Consider the following 20422-nt stretch of genomic DNA (forward strand, 5'->3'; position numbering starts at 1 on the left):
TGAGGACCCCACTCTGGTAACAATATACTTTTTGTCCAGTCACATTTCTACATGGCTGTCCATACTCTGTTGAATGTAAGCATAAGAATGGACAATTTTGCTGTATCTTTGGATCTTCATTCTGAAGGCTCCCATGGCATGTAAAACTATGATCAAATAAATTTGTATGCCTTTTTTCCTTTTAATCTGCCTTGTCGGTTGATTTTCAGTGAAACTTCAGAGGGTAAAGGGGAAGTTTGCCCTTCACCCCTACATGGTCAAGCTCAAGATACCAAAAGACATCAGCTGAAAATTCAATCAACTTGCCTGAATCATCCACCCCAAGCTTAGGAAGCATGCTTGAACCCACCTGGCCAAGGCTGGTTTTGCCGGCCAAAGTCCAAGGCCAAGGCTCCAACCAAAGCCCAGACTTCAGTTGCAGCTCCAGTTCCAGTTCCAGTTCCAGCTCCAGTTCCAGTTCCAGTTCCAGCTCCAGATCAAATTTCCAAGGGTGCCCATGCACACCCACAAAGGATCTGGAGGAGAGGCCTCTGTCTACCAATGGGAGGACAGAAGGACTGGTGTGAGCCCTGGGCTGCCATCTGTTTCTGCATGGAGCTGGTACCATTCTTTTCTATTTATACAAACAAACATGAGGCAGGATCTGTCCATTAAAAAAAAGAGGCCGGGCACAGTGGCTCATGCCTATAATCCCAGCATTTTAGGAGGCCGAGGTGGGTAAATCACCTGAGGTTGGGAGTTCGAGACCAGCCTGGCCAATATGGTGAAACCTCTTCTCTACTAAAAATACAAAAATTAGCCGAGCGTCGCGGCACATCTTTAATCCCAGCTCCTCAGGAGGCTGAGGCACAAGAATCACTTGAACCCAGGAGGTGGAGGTTGCAGTAAGCCGAGAAAACACCACTACACTCCAGCCTAGGCGACAGAATGAGGCTCCATCTTGAAAAGAAAAAGAAAATTAAAAAGAAACAGTCTATACAGGCTCATTCCCTTTCCCCACTCAGAGTTTTTTCAAAGGAATGTGGCCAGATCTGGAGGTTTACCTGCCTTCTGGCTCTGAGGACTTTGCAGTTACTATTTAAGGTCTGGTTAATAGCTTCCTTTGCATCGTGGTTGGTTAACAAGAGTAGGCTGGGCAGAGTGGCTCACGCCTGTAATCCCAGCACTTTGGGAGGCCGAGGCGGGCGGATCACGAGGTCAGGAGATCGAGACCATCCTGGCTAACATGGTGAAACCCCATCTCTACTAAAAATATAAAAAATTAGCCGGGCCTGGTGGCGGGTGCCTGTAGTCCCAGCTACTCGGGAGGCTGAGGCAGGAGAATGGCGTGAACCCGGGAGGCGGAGCTTGCAGTGAGCCGAGATCGCGCCACTGCACTCCGGCCTGGGCGACCTAGCGAGACTCCGTCTCAAAAAAAAAAAAAAAAAAAAAAAAACAAGAGTAGAGGTAATGTTAGCAGACATAACACGAAACAGTGGCACCTTAATTTTTATTTTAAGTACTCTGCAGACTTTTTCAGGGGAGACTTGATGTTCATAACACGTAGATAATTTTACAGTCAAGCTCTTTTGATGTGACTTTTTCAGTAACCAGCAGTAACAGACCTGTTTTAATAAGACTGTATAGCTCTTGGCAGACCATGTGAAATATTTCCCCCACAAAAATTTTCTTAAATTAACTGAATTAGCTCCTTTTATACAACATAATTATATATAAGTATATATAACATAAATATCTAGCTTATAATTTGCTTTTTTCTCCTCCTGAATTTGAAGATTTTTTTGGTAGAGTTCAATGTTGAGTTTAAAAACACCACACACTGGCTGGGCGTGGTGGCTCACGCCTGTAATCCCAACATTTTGGGAAAGCTCAGGTGCGTGGATCATCTGAAGTCAGGAGTTGGAGACCAGCCTGGCCAACATGGTGAAACCCCATCTCTACTAAAAATACAAAAATTAGCCGGATGTGGTGGCAGGCACCTATAATCCCAGCTACTCAGGAGGTTGAGGCAGGAGAATCGCTTGAACCTGGGAGGCGGAGGTTGTAGTGAGCCAAGATCGCAACTTTATTACAAATTTAATTTCCAATTATTCTAATTATTTAAAACATGAACAACTTTGAAAAAAAACCTAGTGAAGCATTCTGTTGGTTTTTAACTATAAAAGGAGAAATTTCTTTAATTTTCACTTATGAGGTCTCTAGGAACCTCAATCCAGTGGACGAAGTTTAATTAATTTCAATTAAAAGTAAACAACAAAGTATTCATTTAGAAACAAATAGCTATAAATTTGCAAGCCCCAGGCAAAAAGTAATCAGAGCCCTATAGTGCCTTCACCCCATTTCTCTGATAGCTATATTGTCATTTATTTCTATTAAATTAATATATGCACAGGTTTTTGTTTGTTTTGTTTTGTTTTGTTTTGTTTTTTGGCGACAGGGTCTCTCTCTCTGTTGCCCAGGCTGGAAGGCTGGAGTGCAATGATGCCATTACGGCTCACTATAACCTTCACCTCCCAGGCTCAAGTGATCCTCCCACCTCAGCCTCCTGAGTAGCTGGGACTACAGGTATGCACCATCACAGCCTGGCTAATTTTTGTATTTTTTGTAAAGACTGGGTTTCACCATGTTGCCCATGCTGGTCTTGAACTCCTGAGGCCAAGCAATCCACCTGCCTTGGCCTCCCAAAATGCGGAGATTACAGGCGTGAGCCACTGCACCCAGCATATGCAAAATGTTTTTTAATTTTTTTTTTTTTTAAGTAGAGATGGGGTTTCACCATGTTGGTCAGGCTGGTCTCGAACTCCTGACCTCGTGATCCACCTGCCTCGGCCTCCCAAACTACTAGAATTACAGGTGTGGATCACCATCACCGTGCCTGGCCCTTTTTTTGTGTGTGTGACGGAGTCTCACTCTGTTGCCCAGGCTGGAATACAATGGCGCAATCTCGGCTCACTGCAACCTCCAACTCCTGGGTTCAAGCTATTCTCATGTCTTAGCCTCCCGAGTAGCTGGAATTACAGGCGCCCACCACCACACCTGGCTAATTTTTGTATTTTTGGTAGAGACGCGGTTTCACCATGTTGGTCAGGTTGGTCTCGAACTCCTGACCTCAGATGATCCACCCACCTCAGCCTCCCAAAGTGCTGGGATTACAGGTGTCAGCCACCACGCCTGGCAATTTTTTTAATTTTTAGAGTAAAAATTTTTAGTGTCAAAAGTTTACAAATTGACAATGACATAAAATGGGTCCAAATATTACAAAAAATAAAATGAAAAATATCCTCTCCAGTCTCCATTCCTTACCTTCTAGTTCCTACCCCAGAGGCAACCACTTTCAGTCATTTATACAGTTTTCCCCTATTCACCTCCATATATATATATGTGTGTATATATATATATATAAATATATACATATATATAAATATATACATATATATATTTTTTGAGATTGAGTCTCACTCTGTCACTCAGGCTGGAGTACAATGGCACAATCTCGGCTTACTGCAACCTCCGCCTCCCAGGTTCAGGTGATTCTCCTGCCTCAGACTCCTGAGTAGCTGGGATTACAGGCATGTGCCACCATGCCCAGCTAATTTTTTTTTTTTTTTTTAGACGGAGTCTTGCTCACTTTCCAGGCTGGAGTGCAGTGGCACTGTCTTGGCTCACTGCAACCTCTGACTCCCTGGTTCAAGTGATTCTCCCATCTCAGCCTCCCGAATCGCTGGGATTACAGGTACACGCCACCACGCTCAGCTAATTTTTTGTATTTTTAGTAGAGATGGGGTTTCACCATGTTGGCCAGGATGGTCTCGATCTTCTGACCTCGTGATCTGCCCACCTTGGCCTCCCAAAGTGCTGGGATTACAGGTGTGAGCCACTGCGCCTGGCCTTTTAGTTTTTTGTTTTTTGTTTTTGAGATGTAGTCTTGCTCTGTCGCCCAGGCTAGAGTGCAGTGGTGCGATCTCAGCTCACCGCAACCTCCACCTCCCGAGTTCAAGCAATTCTCTGCCTCAGCCTCCTGAGTAGCTGGGATTACAGGCACCCGCCACCATGCCTGGCTAATTTTTTTGTATTTTTAGTAGAGACAGGGTTTCATCATCTTGGCCAGGCTGGTCTTGAACTCCTGACCTCATGATCCATTCACCTCAGCCTCCCAAAGTGCTGGGGTTATAGGCGTGAGCCACTGCACCCAGGCCCATCTAATATTTTTGTAGTTTTAGTAGAGACAGGATTTCATCATGTTGGCCAGGCTGGTCTCAAAACTCCTGACCTCAAGTGATTCACCCGCCTCAGGGTTTCAAACTGCTGGGATTACAGGCATGAGCCACAGTGCCTAGCCAATATCCCCTTCCCCTTCCCCTTCCCCTTCCCCTTCCCTTTTTTCTTTTTTTCAGTAGAGATGGGGTTTCACCATGTTGGCCAGGCTGGTCTCGAACTCCAGACCTCAGGTGATCTGCCCGCCTCAGCCTTCCAAAGTGCTGGGATTACAGGCATGAGCCACTGTGCCCAGCCTCATATTTTCAAATAATGTTCTTCTGCTGTTATTTCCTGATGTGTGGGCAGCATTTATTTTGCAGTTTCTTTTATGTTCCATTTAGGCTGAATTCTCAACCCACTTTCACCTGCCCCCTTGCCAATCTAATTACATCACGGTTTTCATAAAATTTATCGGCCAACATGTAATCATGTCTAGTCAAAATTATGCATTACATAGCCACATAGTATATAATATTAGCGTTTTTTGTCTACTTTTATTTTCCAATTTCATCCCTCCTGTTAGAGGCAGTATATTCTAATGGTTAGGGTTAGAACCCCTGGAGCTGGACCCTGGAATGAAATTTGTTCTTTACCATTTGTTAGGTCTGTAATCTTGAGGAAGTGACTTAATTTCTCTGTACCTCAGTTTCATCCTCTGTAAAATAAGGAGAGTTCATACATTTATACACAGTGAAGTACAATAACACATAGCATGCGTTAAGTTCTTGGGTTATATATTACTTGAATGGTTTTCTATGTACTTGTTCTTGCTTCTTCTCCACTTGTCCATCTGATCTGTCACAATCTTTTTTTTTTTTTTTTGGAGATGGACTCTCACTCTGTCTCCCAGGCTGGAGTGCAGTGGTGCGATCTTAGCTCACTGCAAGCTCTGCCGCAGCCTCCTGAGTAGCTGGGACTACAGGCACCCACCACTATGCCCAGCTAATTTTTGTCTTTTTAGTAGAGACGGGGTTTTACCATGCTGGTCTCAAACTTCTGGCCTCAGCGAGTGCTGGCTTCCCCCCGCCTCAGCCTCCCAAAGTGCTGGGATTACAGGCGTGAGCCACCATGACTGGCCTGTCATAATCTTTTTTTTTTTTCTTCTTTTGAGATGGGGTTTCTCTCTGTCACCTACCTAGGCTGAAGTGCAATGGCACAATTTTGGCTCACTGCAGCCTCAAACTCCTGGGCTCGAGCGATCTTCCTGCCTCAGCCTGCTGAGCCTCTAGGACTACAGATGGCTAAATTTTGTAATTTTTGACCAGGCTGGTCTTGAACTCCTAGCCTCAAGTGATCCTCTCACCTGGCCCTCCCAAAGTCCTGGGATTACAGGTGTGAGCCACAGTGCCAGGCCTGTCAAAATCCTTTTTTCCCAGATGATCATCCATGTCAGACAGTCTGTCATTCCACTTTCCCCAAGGGCCCTGTCTTGGTCCCAGAGACCTCTGCACTACTGCAGTCTGGATTCCTCCAGGTTGCTGCTGCACTTTCATCCTGGGACTCCCCTTTGCCACCTTCTTCTGCTGCTGTGGCTTTCTGGAGCTGGTGTCCTCCTTCTTGCTTTACTCCCTCATTTTGGTGAAGCATCATATCAGCAGTTTGTGGACTCCAGAACCTCTGCTTTTAACCCTGTATTGACTTTCCTTGAGCTGCCCAACTTAAAATAAAAATTGTTCATTTTTCTTTTCTTTTCTTTTCTTTTTTTTTTGAGATAGAGTTTCGCTCTTGTTGCCCAGGCTGGAGTGCAATGGGGCGATCTTGGCTCACTGCAACCTCCACCTCCCGGGTTCGAGAGATTCTCCCACCTCAGCCTCCCGAGTAGCTGGGATTACAGGCATGCACCATCACGCCCGGCTAATTTCGTAATTTTAGTAGAGACGGGGTTTATCCATGTTGGTCAGGCTGGTCTTGAACTCCCAACCTCAGGTGATCCACCCGCCTCAGCCTCCCAAAGTGCTAGGATTAAAAATTGTTCATTTTTCTTGTTAACATTAATCTCTTAATTTTGCCTTCAATCTACCTTTAATTCCATCACCTCGCCTATTTCCTCTCTTCCAAGCATTTTCAGGTCTTCCTTTCTATTGAATCATTCTCAAGCTACAAACTGGGTCAGATTTTTCATAAATTAAACAACAAACCTCTCTTTGGCCCAGCTACCGTCTTTCTCCTTTTCTTTGTCCTAAAACTTCTACAAAACAAAGCTTGGTGCTCCATGCTCCAGATCCCTCTCTGGCTTGGCTCTACCCCTCCAGCTCACCCAAGATCACTGGTGCCTCCTGCAGCCTCCCACCTGCTTTTGACAGGAGTAGCTCCTTAAAATGGTTTACTATTTAACTGTTTATCCAAAGGCAAAAAGAAAATTTAATGTAACTACTAATTCTTAGTAATGACTATAATAGGCTAGCAAAGTATTGCCTGGTCACGATTTTTAGGGGAGCTGCTTAAGGAAACAAGAGAAATCCTTTTGTACTTCTCATCAGTTAGTTTGTAAGTGTGGAAAGCTAATGATTCTTCAGCACTGTAATGGTGCTTTAAAAGTTTTAAATGGTGCTTTTAAAGTTTTAAAAATGGTGCTTTAAAAGCACTGTAATGGTGCTTAGCGGATCATGAGATCAGGAGTTCGAGACCAGCCTGGCCAACATAGTGAAACCCCGTCTCTACTAAAAATACAAAACAAAAATTAGCCAGGCATGGTGGCGGGCGCCTGTAGTCCCAGCTGCTTGGGAGGCTGAGGCAGGAGAATCGCTTGAACCCGGAAGGCGGAGGTTGCAGTGAGCCAAGATCGTGACACTGCACTCCAGCCTGGGCGACAGAGTGAGACTGTCTCAAAAAAAAAAAACAAAAAAAACAGTTTTGCCTTAGTATCTTAAAGATTCTCCCCTTAATGCCTTTCACATTAATAATTTGCATGGCAAGTTCTTTGAGTGTAGATAGTACAAAGGAAAATCTCCTTTACACACCCCAGGGAACCCAAATTCCAAATTAATGAAGACAGTAGAGAGTTGCTCAACAGGTTTTGCAGCCCCGTTCAATCTTTCTGGGAACAAATTAATTTTTTTTTTTTTTTTTTGTGACACAGTCTCGCCCTTTCGCCCAGGCCAGAGTGCAGTGGTGCGATCTCGGCTCACTGCAAGCTCTGCCTCCTGGGTTCACGCCAGTCTCCTGCCTCAACCTCCCGAGTAGCTGGGACTACAGACGCCCACGACAGCGCCCGGCTAATTTTTTGTATTTTTAATAGAGACGGGGTTTCACCGTGTTAACCAGGATGGTCTCGATTTCCTGACCTTGTGATCCGCCCGCCTCGGCCTCCCAAAGTGCTGGGATTACAGGCGTGAGCCACCACGCCCGGCCACAAATTAATTTTTTAAGTCCTCTTAGATTAGGAGACTACTCTTGATATATTTTTGTAAGTTGAATCAGGTACACTCAGATTTTGAGTTATAATCCTTTGTGTGAAGGCAACTGGACTCGGCACAGTGGCTCACGCGTGTATCCCAGCACTTTGGGAGGCCGAGGTAGGATGATGGCTTGAGCTCAGGAGTTCCAGACCAGCCTGGGCAACATAGTGAGACCTTGTCTGTCTCTACAAAAAAATTTAAAAATTAGAGTGTGGTGGTGCATGCCTGTAGTCTCAGCTATGCAGGAGGCTGAGGCAGGAATATCGCTTGAGCTCACAGGAGGCTTGAACTCACAGGAGGCGGCAGTGAGCTAGGATCATGCCACTACCCTTCAATCTGGGTGACAGAGAGATACCCTGTCTCAAAATATATAATATATATTATATATTTTTCATATATATGAAAACTATTTAGAGAGGCTTTGCCTCCTTAAGTAAAATACATAATAATCTTTGAATTTTTTTTAAAGTCTCCATTTTCTTCACTTAGAAATAAATATTTGTGTAAATTATTATAGTCACTATTCAACTTTATTATAAAATTTAAAAAACATTTCTGGGCCGGGCGCAGTGGCTCATGCCTGTAATCCCAGCACTTTGGGAGGCCGAGGCGGGCGGATCACGAGGTCAGGAAATCGAGACCGCCCTAGCTAATACGGTGAAACCCCGTCTCTACCAAAAAATACAAAAAATTAGCCGGGCGTGGTGGCGGGTGCCTGTAGTCCCAGCTACTCGGGAGGCTGAGGCAGGAGAATGGCGTGAACCCAGGAGGCGGAGGTTGCAGTGAGCCGAGTTCACGCCACTGCACTCCAGCCTGGGCGACAGAGCGAGACTCCGTCTCAAAAAAAACCCAAAAACCATTTCTGAACAGAGCTCATTCCTGTGATTCTGAATACCATGGAAAATTATTCTGGCTTCTTTGGTTTTAAAATCAATTCAAAAAACTTTCCACATCCTGATTTCAAGTAAACACATTCAGCTATGTTTGAGGCTGAGAGGGGAAAGAAAAAAACACACAAAGGCGAGACAAGTCTCTCTTTTCAGTTTTCTTGGTTAATCCATTCTAATTAATTTCCTGAGAGGAAGTACAAGAGGTAAGCCCATTTCTTCAAATAACAGCACTGTGTGTTGACTTATCTTTTTAACGTGTATTTAAAGAGAGGACTCCTGTCAGTTTCTTTTAAATTCACTTTATAAGATGCATACTTTGAAGTAAACTCTCTTTGGAGGTGCTTGGTTTTAAAATAACCACCGCCAGCTAACTGCCTGTGCAACCATATAGTTCCATGAAAATCAACAAAAGGCCTTCATTGCGGGTTTCACTTGGAAGATGTTTACATTGTTCTATGAAGGTTAGAAAGGCGGAAGGAGCTCCCTGAGGTTTCACAGGAAGACAGTCCAGCCTATTTATTCATAATGGGATTTCAGTTACAGAACATTTAGATTCAACAGAAGGAGAATTTTAAATGGCTGAGAGAAGATGATAAGAAAATGTTCATAAACCATTTCATTTTGTTTCCCTCTTTAATGAAAAGGGAGAAAACACTCAATGAAGAAAGTTAATGACTCTGAAGTCCAAATGAGAAGTTTAGAAACAACTTCTTGAAAAAAAAGAAAAAGTATGCATTTATTGAATGACATTACTCAATCAATAATTTTGGATATTTTCTTTTTGTGTTTTTTTTTTCCATGCTAATTCTACAAACTGAAGGCAAGAATAAATGTTGTTTTTTTTAACCCCCCAAGACGGAGTCTTGCTCTATCACCCGGGCTGGAGTGGTGCAGTGGCATGATCTCTGCTCACTGCAACCTTCGCTTCCCGGGTTCAAGCGATTCTCCTGTCTCAGCCTCCCGAGTAGCTGGGATTACAGGCGCCTGCCACTGCGCCCGGCTAATTTTTGTATTTTTAGTAGAGACGGGGTTTCACCATGTTGGCCAGGCTGGTCTCAAACTCCTGACCTCGTGATCCGCCCGCCTCAGCCTCCGAAAGTGCTGGGATTACAGGCATGAGCCACTGTGCTGGGCCAAGAAAATGTTCTTATGCCTTTGCTTTATTTAAAAGAAGCAGACTGGCCGGGTGCAATGGCCCACACCTGTACTCCCAGCACGTTGGGAGGCCGAGGTGGGGGGGCGGATCACCTGAGGTCAGGAGTTCAAGACCAGCTTAGCCAACATAGTAAAACCTCGTCTCTACTAAAATACAAAAATTGGCTGGGCTTGGTGGTGCACGCGCCTGTAACCCCAGCTACTCAGGTGGCTGAGGCAGGAGACTTGCTTGAACCTGGGAGGTGGAGGTTGCAGTGAACTGACATTGTGCCACTGAACTCCAGCCTGGGCAACAGAGCGGAAACTCTGTCTCAAAAACAAGAACAACAAAAAAACCACAGTAGACTTCCATTCCATCTTCAGACTATATTTCTAAAGAAGGAAATGGTGTCCTAAGCACGTTCATTTATGGTCTACCACTCAAAATATGAAATTCAACATAGGTGTATGTGACTTGAGCCACAGTAATCTGAGGAAGGCAACAGGCATCAAATTTTGCTTGCTGGGACATGGGACCAATTAGTGGAAAACACAGAGTTAAAGCCACATTGTAGACTTGAAAGTGGAAGGGTAAAAATAAGAGAAGGAAGAAAGCAAAAGGCTGGCCACTGAGCAGAGAAAAGGCTCAACTGGATTCTCTCTCAAAAACTTTAGGTAGCAATTTATGAAAATTGCTGTTGTCAGCCTCCAGATTTACCATCTAGCTCCTAAAAAGCTACTGGCGATGACTTCACACCCTTATCAAGGAGATAACTTTGAGAGGTTTCTCATTTAGAAGTATAAGATTTCAACCAGGCATGGTGACTCATGCCTGTAATCCCAGCACTTTGGGAGGCTGAGGAGGGTGGATCACTTGAGGCCAGGAGTTCAAGACCAGCCTGTCCAACATAGTGAAACCCCATCTCCACTAAAAATACAAAAATTAGCTAGGCATGATGGCACATACCTGTAATCTCAGCTCAGCTACTCGGGAGGCTGAGGCAAAGGAATTGCTTGAACCCAGGAGGCGGGGGGTTGTAGTGGGCTGAGATGTGCCACTACACTCCAGCCTGGGCGACAGAGCAAGACTCTGTCTCAAAAAAAAAGGGTACAAGGTTTCCTGGTACTATTATTTTCAAATGCCTTTGGAACACAAGGGCTTTTGAAAAAACAGGAGACAGGTCGGGCGTGGTGGCTCACTTCTGTAATCCCAACACTTTGGGAGGCTAAGGTGGGCAGATTACCCAAGGTCAGGTGAGACCAGCCTGGCCAACATGGTGAAACCCTGTCTCTACTAAAAATTCAAAAATTAGCTGAGCATGACGACGGGTGCCTGGGAGGCTGAAGCAGGAGAATCACTTGAACGCAGGAGGCAGAGTTTGCAGTGAGCCAAGATTGCGCCACTGCACTCCAGCCTGGGCAAGAGAGCAAGACTCCATCTCAAAAAAAAAAAAAAGGAAAAAATAGGAGACAGAGTAGAATGTCTTACCTGCCACCCTAAGAATAAGCATAAGGTTCTTTGCTTGGCAGGAAAAAAATACCAGTAGACGTTGTAAAGCCTCTTCGTGTTGATGTCTTTAAGAATGTCAAATGCTTGCAGCCTCTGCCTATGCGCTCAGTGCAGCCAGAAGCTGGTGGTCAGCCTGGCTGGAGCAGCTGTACAATAGGTGATGTTTGCCTCCATCTTCCCTTTAAGCTCTGCTCCATGGGAACCCTCAAGAGGAGACTACCTTAACCTAATCCAAGGAGTTCTCCATCTCTGGCAACATTCACACAGGAAGTACCTGCAGGCAAACAGGTATTTGAACATTTGTTCAGAGCTATCAAAATTTTAGGATGTAAACCCCTGTGACCCCTGTGTACCATAGTTGACATTGGGGGCCTCTGATTGCGGGGAAGAGCCTGAACCAAGAACCACTATCTCTTGTGTAATAGGATGCCAGGGCAAGGGAATCCCATCATGACCCACTTATTTCCAAACTTGTATGTTTGGAAACATTTGGAGCCTTATCTCTGCTCTTAAGTCCAATGCAGGGCAAGATTCACAAGGGCACTTCAGGAGGACAGCTCACACAGTTAGTCTCGCCTTATATTTTTGTTCTGGTGAAATAATTTTAAAACAAAGGAGCCGGGCATGGTAGCTCACGCCTGTAATCCAGCACTTTGGGAAGCTGAGGCGGGCAGATCACCTGAGGTCAGGAGTTCGAGACCAGCCTGACCAACATGGTGAAACCCCGTCTCTACTAAAAATACAAAAAAAATTAGCCGGGCATGGTGGCGCATGCCTGTAGTCCCAGCTACTCAGGACGCTGAGGTAGGAGAATCACTTGAGCCCGGGAGGCGGAGGTTGTAGTGAGCTGAAATCATGCCACTGCACTCCAGCCTGGGCAACAGAGCGAAACTCTGTCTCAAAAACAAAAAACAAAACACAAAACAAAACAAAAACAGACCGGGTGCAGTGGCTCACGCCTGTAATCCCAGCACTTTGGGAGGCCGGGGCAGGCTGATCACTTGAGGTCAGGAGTTTGAGACCAGCCTGGTCAACATGGTGAAACCCCATCTCTACTTAAAATACAAAAATTAGCTGGGCGTGGTGGCGTGTGCTGTAATCCCTGCTACTCTGGAGGCTGAGGCAGGAGAATTGCTTGAACTCGGGAGGCGGAGGTTGCAGTGAGCCAATATTGTAACACTGCACTCCAGCCTGGGCCACAGAGTGAGAGTGTCTCAGAAACAAAAAAAAACAACAACAACAACAAAAAACAAAAACCAAGAGGATTGGGGTTTTGAAATGGCAGGCTGTGTAATCCCAGCACATTCAGAGGCCAAGGTGGGAAGATTCCTTGAGGCCAGCAGTTCAAGACCAGCCTAGGCAACATAATGAGACTCTATCTCTTCAAAAAATAAAAATAAAAAAAATTAACCAGGCATGGTGGCATGTGCCTGTAGTCCTAGTTACTCAGGAAGCCAAGTTGGGAGGATGGTTTGAACCTAGGAGAGAGCTATGATTGTGCCACTGCACTCCAGCCTGGGTGACAGAGTGAGACACTGTCTCAAAAAAAAAAAAAAAAAAAAAAGCAAACTGAATGACAACTTTTATCTCCCCTCTTTCTCAGATCTATACTTATTCTTTTAAGCGGTGGCGAAGGAATAAAAGGAACAAGTTCCCCACAGTAAAATAAATGGGAGTGGTGAGAGACATCAAGTAAATGATATGGAATAAATATTTTTTAAATGATGTAACTGTATTGCTGAGCTAGCCAAAGTGAAATCACAATGATAAGCCATTTTACATCTACTAGATTGTAAAAATCAAAAATACAATTACAAGTGTTGAAAATGTTGGAAAATGCTTAAAAGAGTCCTGATGTAGCCAGGTGTGGTGGCTCATGCCCGTAATCCCAGCACTTTGGGAGGCTGAGGTTAGGTGGATCACCTGAGGTCAGGAGTTCAAGACCAGCCTGGCCAACATGGTGAAACCCCAACTCTACTAAAACTACAAAAATCAGCCTGGTGTGGTAGCACACACCTGTAATCCCAGCTGTTTGGGAGGCTGAGGTAGGAGAATTGGCTTGAACCTGGGAGGCAGAGGTTATAGTGAGTCAAGATCACGCCACTGCACTGCAGCCTGGGCCACAGAGTGAGACTCCCATCTCAAAAGAAAAAAAAAATCCTGATGTATAGTAAGTTTTATATAACTTTTTGCTATTATTATTATCATCATTGTAGTATTACTACTAATGTAAACACTGCTAATCTTTGGTCAGTTATATATGTCTTTTCCTAGTGTGTGGCTACTGTCTTTATAGTATTTAGTTGGTTTTTAAAAAATTTGTTAGAGAGGTAGGGAATCTCGCTATGTTGCCTAGGCTGGATTCGAACTTATGGGCTCAAGCCATCCTCCCTCTGTGGTCTTCCACCTCAGTCTCCTGTAGCTGGGACTTCAGGCACATGCCACCTATAGTGTTTTTTGATTATGAGAAATTCTTCACTTTTTCTTTTTTCTTTTTCTTTTTCTTTTTTTTTTTTTTTTTGAGACGGAGTCTCGCTCTGTCACCCAGGCTGGAGTGCAATGGCACGGTCTCAGCTCACTGCAACCCCCACCCCCCGGGTTCAAGTGATTCTCCTGCCTCAGTCTCCCGAGTAGCTGGGATTACAGGTGCCCACCACCACGCCTGGCTAATTTTTGTATTTTTAGTAGAGACGGGGTTTCGCTATGTTGGCCAGGCTGGTCTCGAACTCCTGACCTCAAGTGATCCGCCCACCTCGGTGTCCCAAAGTGCTGTGATTACAAGCATGAGCCACCGCACCTGGCCGAGAAATTATTCACTTTAATGTAGAAGATTCCTTTTGTCTTAAGAAATCCTTCCCTAAATAAAGTTGTAGAGAGATATTCTCCTGCATGAGAATAAAGATATTCCTCATGTATATATTTTTAAAATTATATAGTGTTGCTTTCAGTGTTTATCTTCTGTGATTTACTTTTGTGTATAGGTTTAGGTAGGGATCTAATTTTCTCCCAGTGTGGCCAGCCAATTGTTCCTGTACCTATTATTAAATATACTTTCCCTGTTCATCTGCAATGCTAAGTCATGAATCAAGTTTCTATATATGCATGGGTCTGTTTCCTGGGCTCTTTATTACATTTTATTTGTCTATTTATCTATCCCTGCACCTATATATACTATATAATTTTATTTTATTTTTATTTTTTTAAGATGGAGTCTCACTCTGTCAGCCAAGCTAGAGTGCAGTGGCACAATCTCGGCTCACTGCAACCTCCCCCTCCCAGGTTCAAGCAATTCTCCTGCCTCAGCCTCCTGAGTAGCTGGGACTATAGGCACACACTATTACACCCGGCTAATTTTTGTATTTTTAGTAGAGACAGGGTTTCACTATGTTGGCCATGACGATCTCAATCTCTTGACCTTGTGATCTGCCCGCCTCAGCATCCCAAAGTCCTGGGATTACAGGCATGAGCCACTGCGCCTGGCCATACTATTTTATTTTTATATTTTATTTTTCAGAGACAGGGTCTCACCCTGTCACCTAGGCCAGAGTACAGTGGTGTAATCATAGCTCAGTGTAACCTTGAACTCCTGACCTGGGCTCAAATGATTTGATCCTCTAGGAGGTCAAGACCAGCCTGGGCAACATAGCGAGACCCCCATCTACAAAAAAAAAAAAAAAAAGAGGTTGGTGTGGTTCTTAATTTCCTACCCAAATTAAGGAATAAAACCTTGCTTGTACTATTGTTTATAGTTGTATTACTTTTTTTTTTAAGACATGAGGTTTATGTTGTCCAAGCTGGAGTGCAGGTACTATTCACAGCTGCAATTCAAGGCACTGCAGCCTTGAACTCCTGGGCTCAAGCAATCCTCCTGCCCCAGCCTCCCAAAATGCTAGGATTACAGGCATGAGCCACTGGGTCCAGCCTTCGTTCTAGCTTCATATAGATTTGTCCTATAGCTTGTACTCTGCCCTAGTTTCATGTAGGTCTCTTTTCCTACCTCTTCCTTCACACTACTATACTTCATTGATTCTGACATGCTCCTTTCCCCGCCATCCCACTATTTCTGAAATTCAGATGCATGTTACCCTCTGTGTTGGCCAAGTGGTGGGCTTACCATGGTTGTTTTTGCCTGACACCTTCTGGTAACAGCAAGAAAGTGCCAGCATCAAAACTTGAAGAATGGATGTCAGTGATGTAGAATAAAATTTCTGAGACAAGAGTGGAGCAGTTTTTAGGAAATGCTGCTTCACCAATGCTCTTGATGCTCCTGAGACAACTTTTTTTTTTTTTTTTTTTTTTTTTTTTGCGATGGAGTTTCGCTCTTACTGCCCAGGCTGGAGTGCAGTGGCACCATCTCTGCTCACTGAAACTTCCGCCTCCGGGGTTCAAGTGATTGTCCTGCCTCAGCCTCCCGAGTAGCTGGGATTACAGGCATGTGCCACCACACTCGGCTAATTTTGTATTTTTAGTAGAGACAGGGTTTCTCCATGTTGGTCAGGCTGATTTCAAACTCCCGACCTCAGGTGATTCACCCTCCTCGGCCTCCCAAAGGAGGTGGAGGTTGCAGTGAGCCAAGATCGTTTCACAACACTCCAGCCTGGGCAACAGAGCAAGACTCCATCTCAAAAAAATAAAGAAAGAATAAAATAAAAATACCTCCTGCTCATGTGAAAATTCTATTTCCATGACACCCCTTTCTATGTCTCATTCACATCTTGCACTCCTGTGGCAGAAACTGCTAGCTATTCACCCCAATACCTTTGTCCTCTCTAAGAACTTTCAAACCAGACAAGGTCAGCACAAGAAAAGAACACTAAAATCTCATTCATGGACATACATGGAAAATTCCTAAATGAAATACAAGAATCACTTCCACTTACATCCCATTGGCTAGAACATGTAGTCCTATGACCATATCTAGTCTCAAAGACAACTGGGAAATTTACTCTAGGCAGCCTTGTGACCAAATAAAAACTGGTTTTACATTTTCAAGGAAATCATTTCCCCCTCCCTCCACTCAGCAACAAGGTCAAGATAAGCAAGTTTCCTTGCTGTTCCCTTAAGAGCATTTATTTCTAGTTTACCTGCACACAAGGGGCTTAGCCTTTGTAGACTCAGCTTTATGAGGAAACCTTCTGTTAGACTTTGAGGCTGGGCACGGTGCCTCACGCCTGTAATCCCAGCACTTTGGGAGGCCGAGGTGGGAAGATCACGAGGTCAGGAGTTCGAGACCAGCCTGACCAACATGATGAAACCCCATCTCTACTAAAAATACAAAACTTAGCCAGGCATGGTGACACGCGCCTGTAATCCCAGCTACTCAGGAGAATCGCTTGAACCTGGGAGGCAGAGGTTGCAGTGAGCCAAGATCGCGCCATTGCACTCCAGCCTGGGTGACAGAGCAAGACTGTCTCCACACACACACACACACACACACACACACACAAATATATATATATATATATATATATGTATGTGTATATATATATCTGTATGTGTATATATATGTATGTGTGTATATATGTGTATGTGTATATATATGTATGTGAATATATGTGTGTGTGTGTATGTGTGTGTGTGTGTGTGTGTGTGTGTATATATATATATATGCCAGGCATGGTGGCACACACCTGTAGTCCCAGCTACTCGGGAGGCTGAGGCAGGAGAATCACTTGAACCCGGGAGGCAGAGGTTGCAGTGAGCTGTGATCACGCCACTGCACTCCAGCCTGGGTGACAGAGTGAGACTCCATCTCAAAAAAAAAAAAAAAAAGAAAAAGACTTTGAGATGGCCTTGTCACCTACCCTCCTGCATTCGACTCAGCCAACAAAACTAAAATTCAAATTCACCAAGATTTGGAGATGCCCTGAGGGAAGGGTCTGGTTTCTTACTTCCTCTGAATTCCTGCTTTCCCTTGCCTTTTTTTTTTTTTTTTGGCTAGCTCAGCAATACAGTTACATAATTTTAAAAATATTCACTCCTGCTTGTGTAGTTGTTTTACTGGGAAGCTTGTCCATGATATATAGACACCATCTTGCCTAAGGAGAGGTTCACCCTCATATTTTCAGAGGTGTGTTTAATACAACTTCAGACGACAGCTGATCTTCATCTTACACAAAGTATTTCAGAGAATAGAAAAGAAGGAAAGTTACACAAATCATTTTCCAAGACTTGTTTAACTCTGATACTCAAACCAGACAAGGTCAGCACACACACACACACACACACACACACACACACAATTAAAAATCATTCTCATGTATAAACATAGATGGAATTATGACTGAATTTTCCGGTTAAATGAGCCAATAAATTCTCTTTTGTTCTTAAAAAGCAAAAATGAAAAACATTGTTCATAAACATACTGTTAAAATCCCCAAATAAAAGACAAGCAAATCCAATCCTAGAAAAAAATAACATGACTCAAAAATAATTCCATAGCCAGGCATGGTGGCTCAGCCCGGTAATCCCAGCACTTTGGGAGGCCAAGGTGGGCAGATCACCTGAGGTCAGGAGTTCAAGACCAGCCTGACCAACATGGTGAAACCAGTCTCTACTAAAAATATAAAAATCAGCTGGGCATGGTGGTACATGCCTGTAATTCCAGCTACTCGGTAGGCTGAGACAGGAGAATCACTTGAACCTGAGAGGCAGAGGTTGCAGTGAGCCAAGATCATACCACTGCACTCCAGCCTGGGCAACAGAGCAAGACTTCATCTCAAAATAATAATAATAATAATTCCATGATGGATGCTTTGGGTTTTTTGTTTTTGTTGTTTTGAGACAGGGTCTCCTTGTGTTGCCCAGGCTGGAGTGCAGTGGCATGATCTCGGCTCACTGCAACCTCCGCCTCCTAGGTACAAGCAATTCTCATGCCTCAGCCTCCCCAGTAGCTGGGATTACAGGTGCATGCCACCATGCCTAGCTACATTTCTTTATTCTTTATAGAGAGGGGGTCTTGCCACGTTGGTCAGGCTGATGTTGAACTCCTGGATTCAAGTAATCCTCCTGCCTCAGCCTCTCAAAGTGCTGGGATTACAAGTGAGAGCCACCGTCCCCTGTGTTTTTTTTTTAAATAAATTTTATTGTGTATATTTCAGGTTTACAACATGATGTAACAGGATATATATAGATAGTAAAATGGTTACTATAGTGAAGCAAATTAACATAACTTTTACCTCACATAGTTACATTTCTGTGTGTGACAAGAGCAGCTAAAATCTATTTATTTAACAAAAATGTCTAATATAATACAACTTTATTATCTATAGTCCTCATGTTGTACATTGGATCCCTAGACTTGTTCATCCCACATATCTACTACTTTGTATCTTTTGACCTAAATCTTCCATCTCCTCCCCACCCCACAATGATGGTTTAACAACAGAAAATATGTCAATATGGCCAGACTTGGTGGCTCATGCCTGTAATCCCAGCACTTTGAGAGGCCAAGGTGGGCAGATCACTTGAGGCCAGGAGTTGGAGACCAGCCTGGCCAAGGTGGTGAAACCCTGTCTCTACTAAAATACAAAAATTAGCCAGGCGTGGTGGCAGGTGCCTGTAATCTCACCTACTCAGGAGGTAAATTGGGAGAATCTTTTGAACCTGGGAGGCAGAGGTTGCGTGAGCCCAGATCACACCACTACACTCCAGCCTGGGCGACAGAGTGAGCCTCTGTCTCAAAAAGAAAGAAAGAGGCTGAGCGCAGTGGCTCATGCCTGTAATCCCAGCACTTTGGGAGGCTGAGGTGGGTGGCTCACCTGAGGTCAGGAGTTCAAGACCAGCCTGGCCAACATGCTAAAACCCCGTCTCTGCTAAAAATACAATAATTAGCTGGGTGTGTTGGTGGGCGCCTGTAATCCCAGCTACTCAGGAGGCTGAGGCAGGAGAATCGCTTGAACCTGGGAAGCAGAGGTTGCAGTGAGGCGAGATTGTGCCACTGCACTCCAACCTGGGTGACAAGAGCGAAACTCAGTCTCAGAAAAAAGAGGCCGGGTGCAGTGGCTCACGCCTGTAATCCCAGCACTTTGGGAGGCCCAGGTGGGCAGATCACCAGAGGTCAGGAGTTCAAGACCAGCCTGGCCAACATGGTAAAACCCCGTCTCTACTAAAAATACAAAAAAATTAGCTGGGAGTGGTGGTGTGCACCTGTAATCCCAGTTACTTGGGAGGCTGAGGCAGGAGAATCGGTTGAACCTGGAAGGCAGAGATTGCAGTGAGCTGAGATTGTGCCACTGTACTCCAGCCTGGGTGACACAGCAAGACTCCGTCTCAAAAAAAGAAAAAAGAAAGGAAAAGAAAGGGAAGGAAGGAAATATATCAACATAATTTAATTTACCAGATTAACAGATTTAAGGAGAAAGCCACATGGTCCTTTCAATAGATGTGGAAATCAGAGAACATATTTGATAAAAGTCAATATTAATTCACGACAAACTAGAAATAGAAGGAAACTTCCTTAATCTGGTAAATGGACCCTACCTAAGACATTCAACGCTTGTTCAAGTTCTGCATAATTAGAAGCTAGATGTGGCTCTGACTTTGTGTGAAAATAACACAAGGAAAGAGTCAGGCTGCTTGTCCAGGTCTAGGTAATATGCCATTAGTTATTTCTCCCAAATGAGCAACCTTGCCCAAGTCAGCTCCTCCCAGAAGAGTAGTTCACTTTTCTAGGTTTATCACTGTTCCTTCAAAGTCTGGTCACTAACCCGTGACCACTGTACATGTGTAGGAGTAGTCCTCATGATCATCTAGTTCAGTCCACTTATCTTACAGGTAACAACTATGAAGTCCAGAGTGAAAGGCCCAAGGTAAAATATGAGCTCAGCTAATGGCACACCTGAGAATGGGATCTGGGCCTCCCTATACCCAGTCCCTCCTCCTTACACTTCCCTCTCATGAGCAAAATCAAATGCTACTCAATTTCTTATGCAGCTTAACTATTTCCTTTAAGATTCTGGGCTTCTCTGGACACTTATGACCTCAGGGGCTTACCTTATTTCTTTTTATTTCCTTTTTTTTAGAGACGAAGCCTTGCTCTGTTGCCCAGGCTGGAGTGCAGTGGCTTGATCTCAGCTCACTGCAACCTCTGTCTTCCAGGTTCAAGTGATTCTCCTGCCTTAGCCTCCCAAGTAGCTGGGATTACAGGCACGAGCCACCATGCCCAGCTAATTTTTTTTTTTTTTCAGACGGAGTCTCAATCTGTCGCCCAGGCTGGAGTGCAGTGGTGCTAT

General features: G+C 44.4%; 2 annotated features.

The window, feature by feature from the left end:
- Window positions 200–494: a silencer, noted in NCBI's record as "tiled region #10881; K562 Repressive DNase unmatched - State 18:Pol2". NCBI's record gives its function as "represses a minimal TATA promoter and a strong SV40 promoter by Sharpr-MPRA in K562 cells {active_cell/tissue: K562}" and the evidence as "EXISTENCE:reporter gene assay evidence [ECO:0000049][PMID:27701403]".
- Window positions 12326–12569: a silencer, noted in NCBI's record as "fragment chr5:79568395-79568638 (GRCh37/hg19 assembly coordinates)". NCBI's record gives its function as "represses an EF-1alpha promoter that drives an FKBP-Casp9 reporter gene in an ReSE screen in K562 erythroleukemia cells {active_cell/tissue: K562}" and the evidence as "EXISTENCE:reporter gene assay evidence [ECO:0000049][PMID:32094911]".

This window comes from Homo sapiens, chromosome 5, assembly GCF_000001405.40.
Source record: "Homo sapiens chromosome 5, GRCh38.p14 Primary Assembly".
Taxonomy (NCBI): Eukaryota; Metazoa; Chordata; class Mammalia; order Primates; family Hominidae; genus Homo; species Homo sapiens.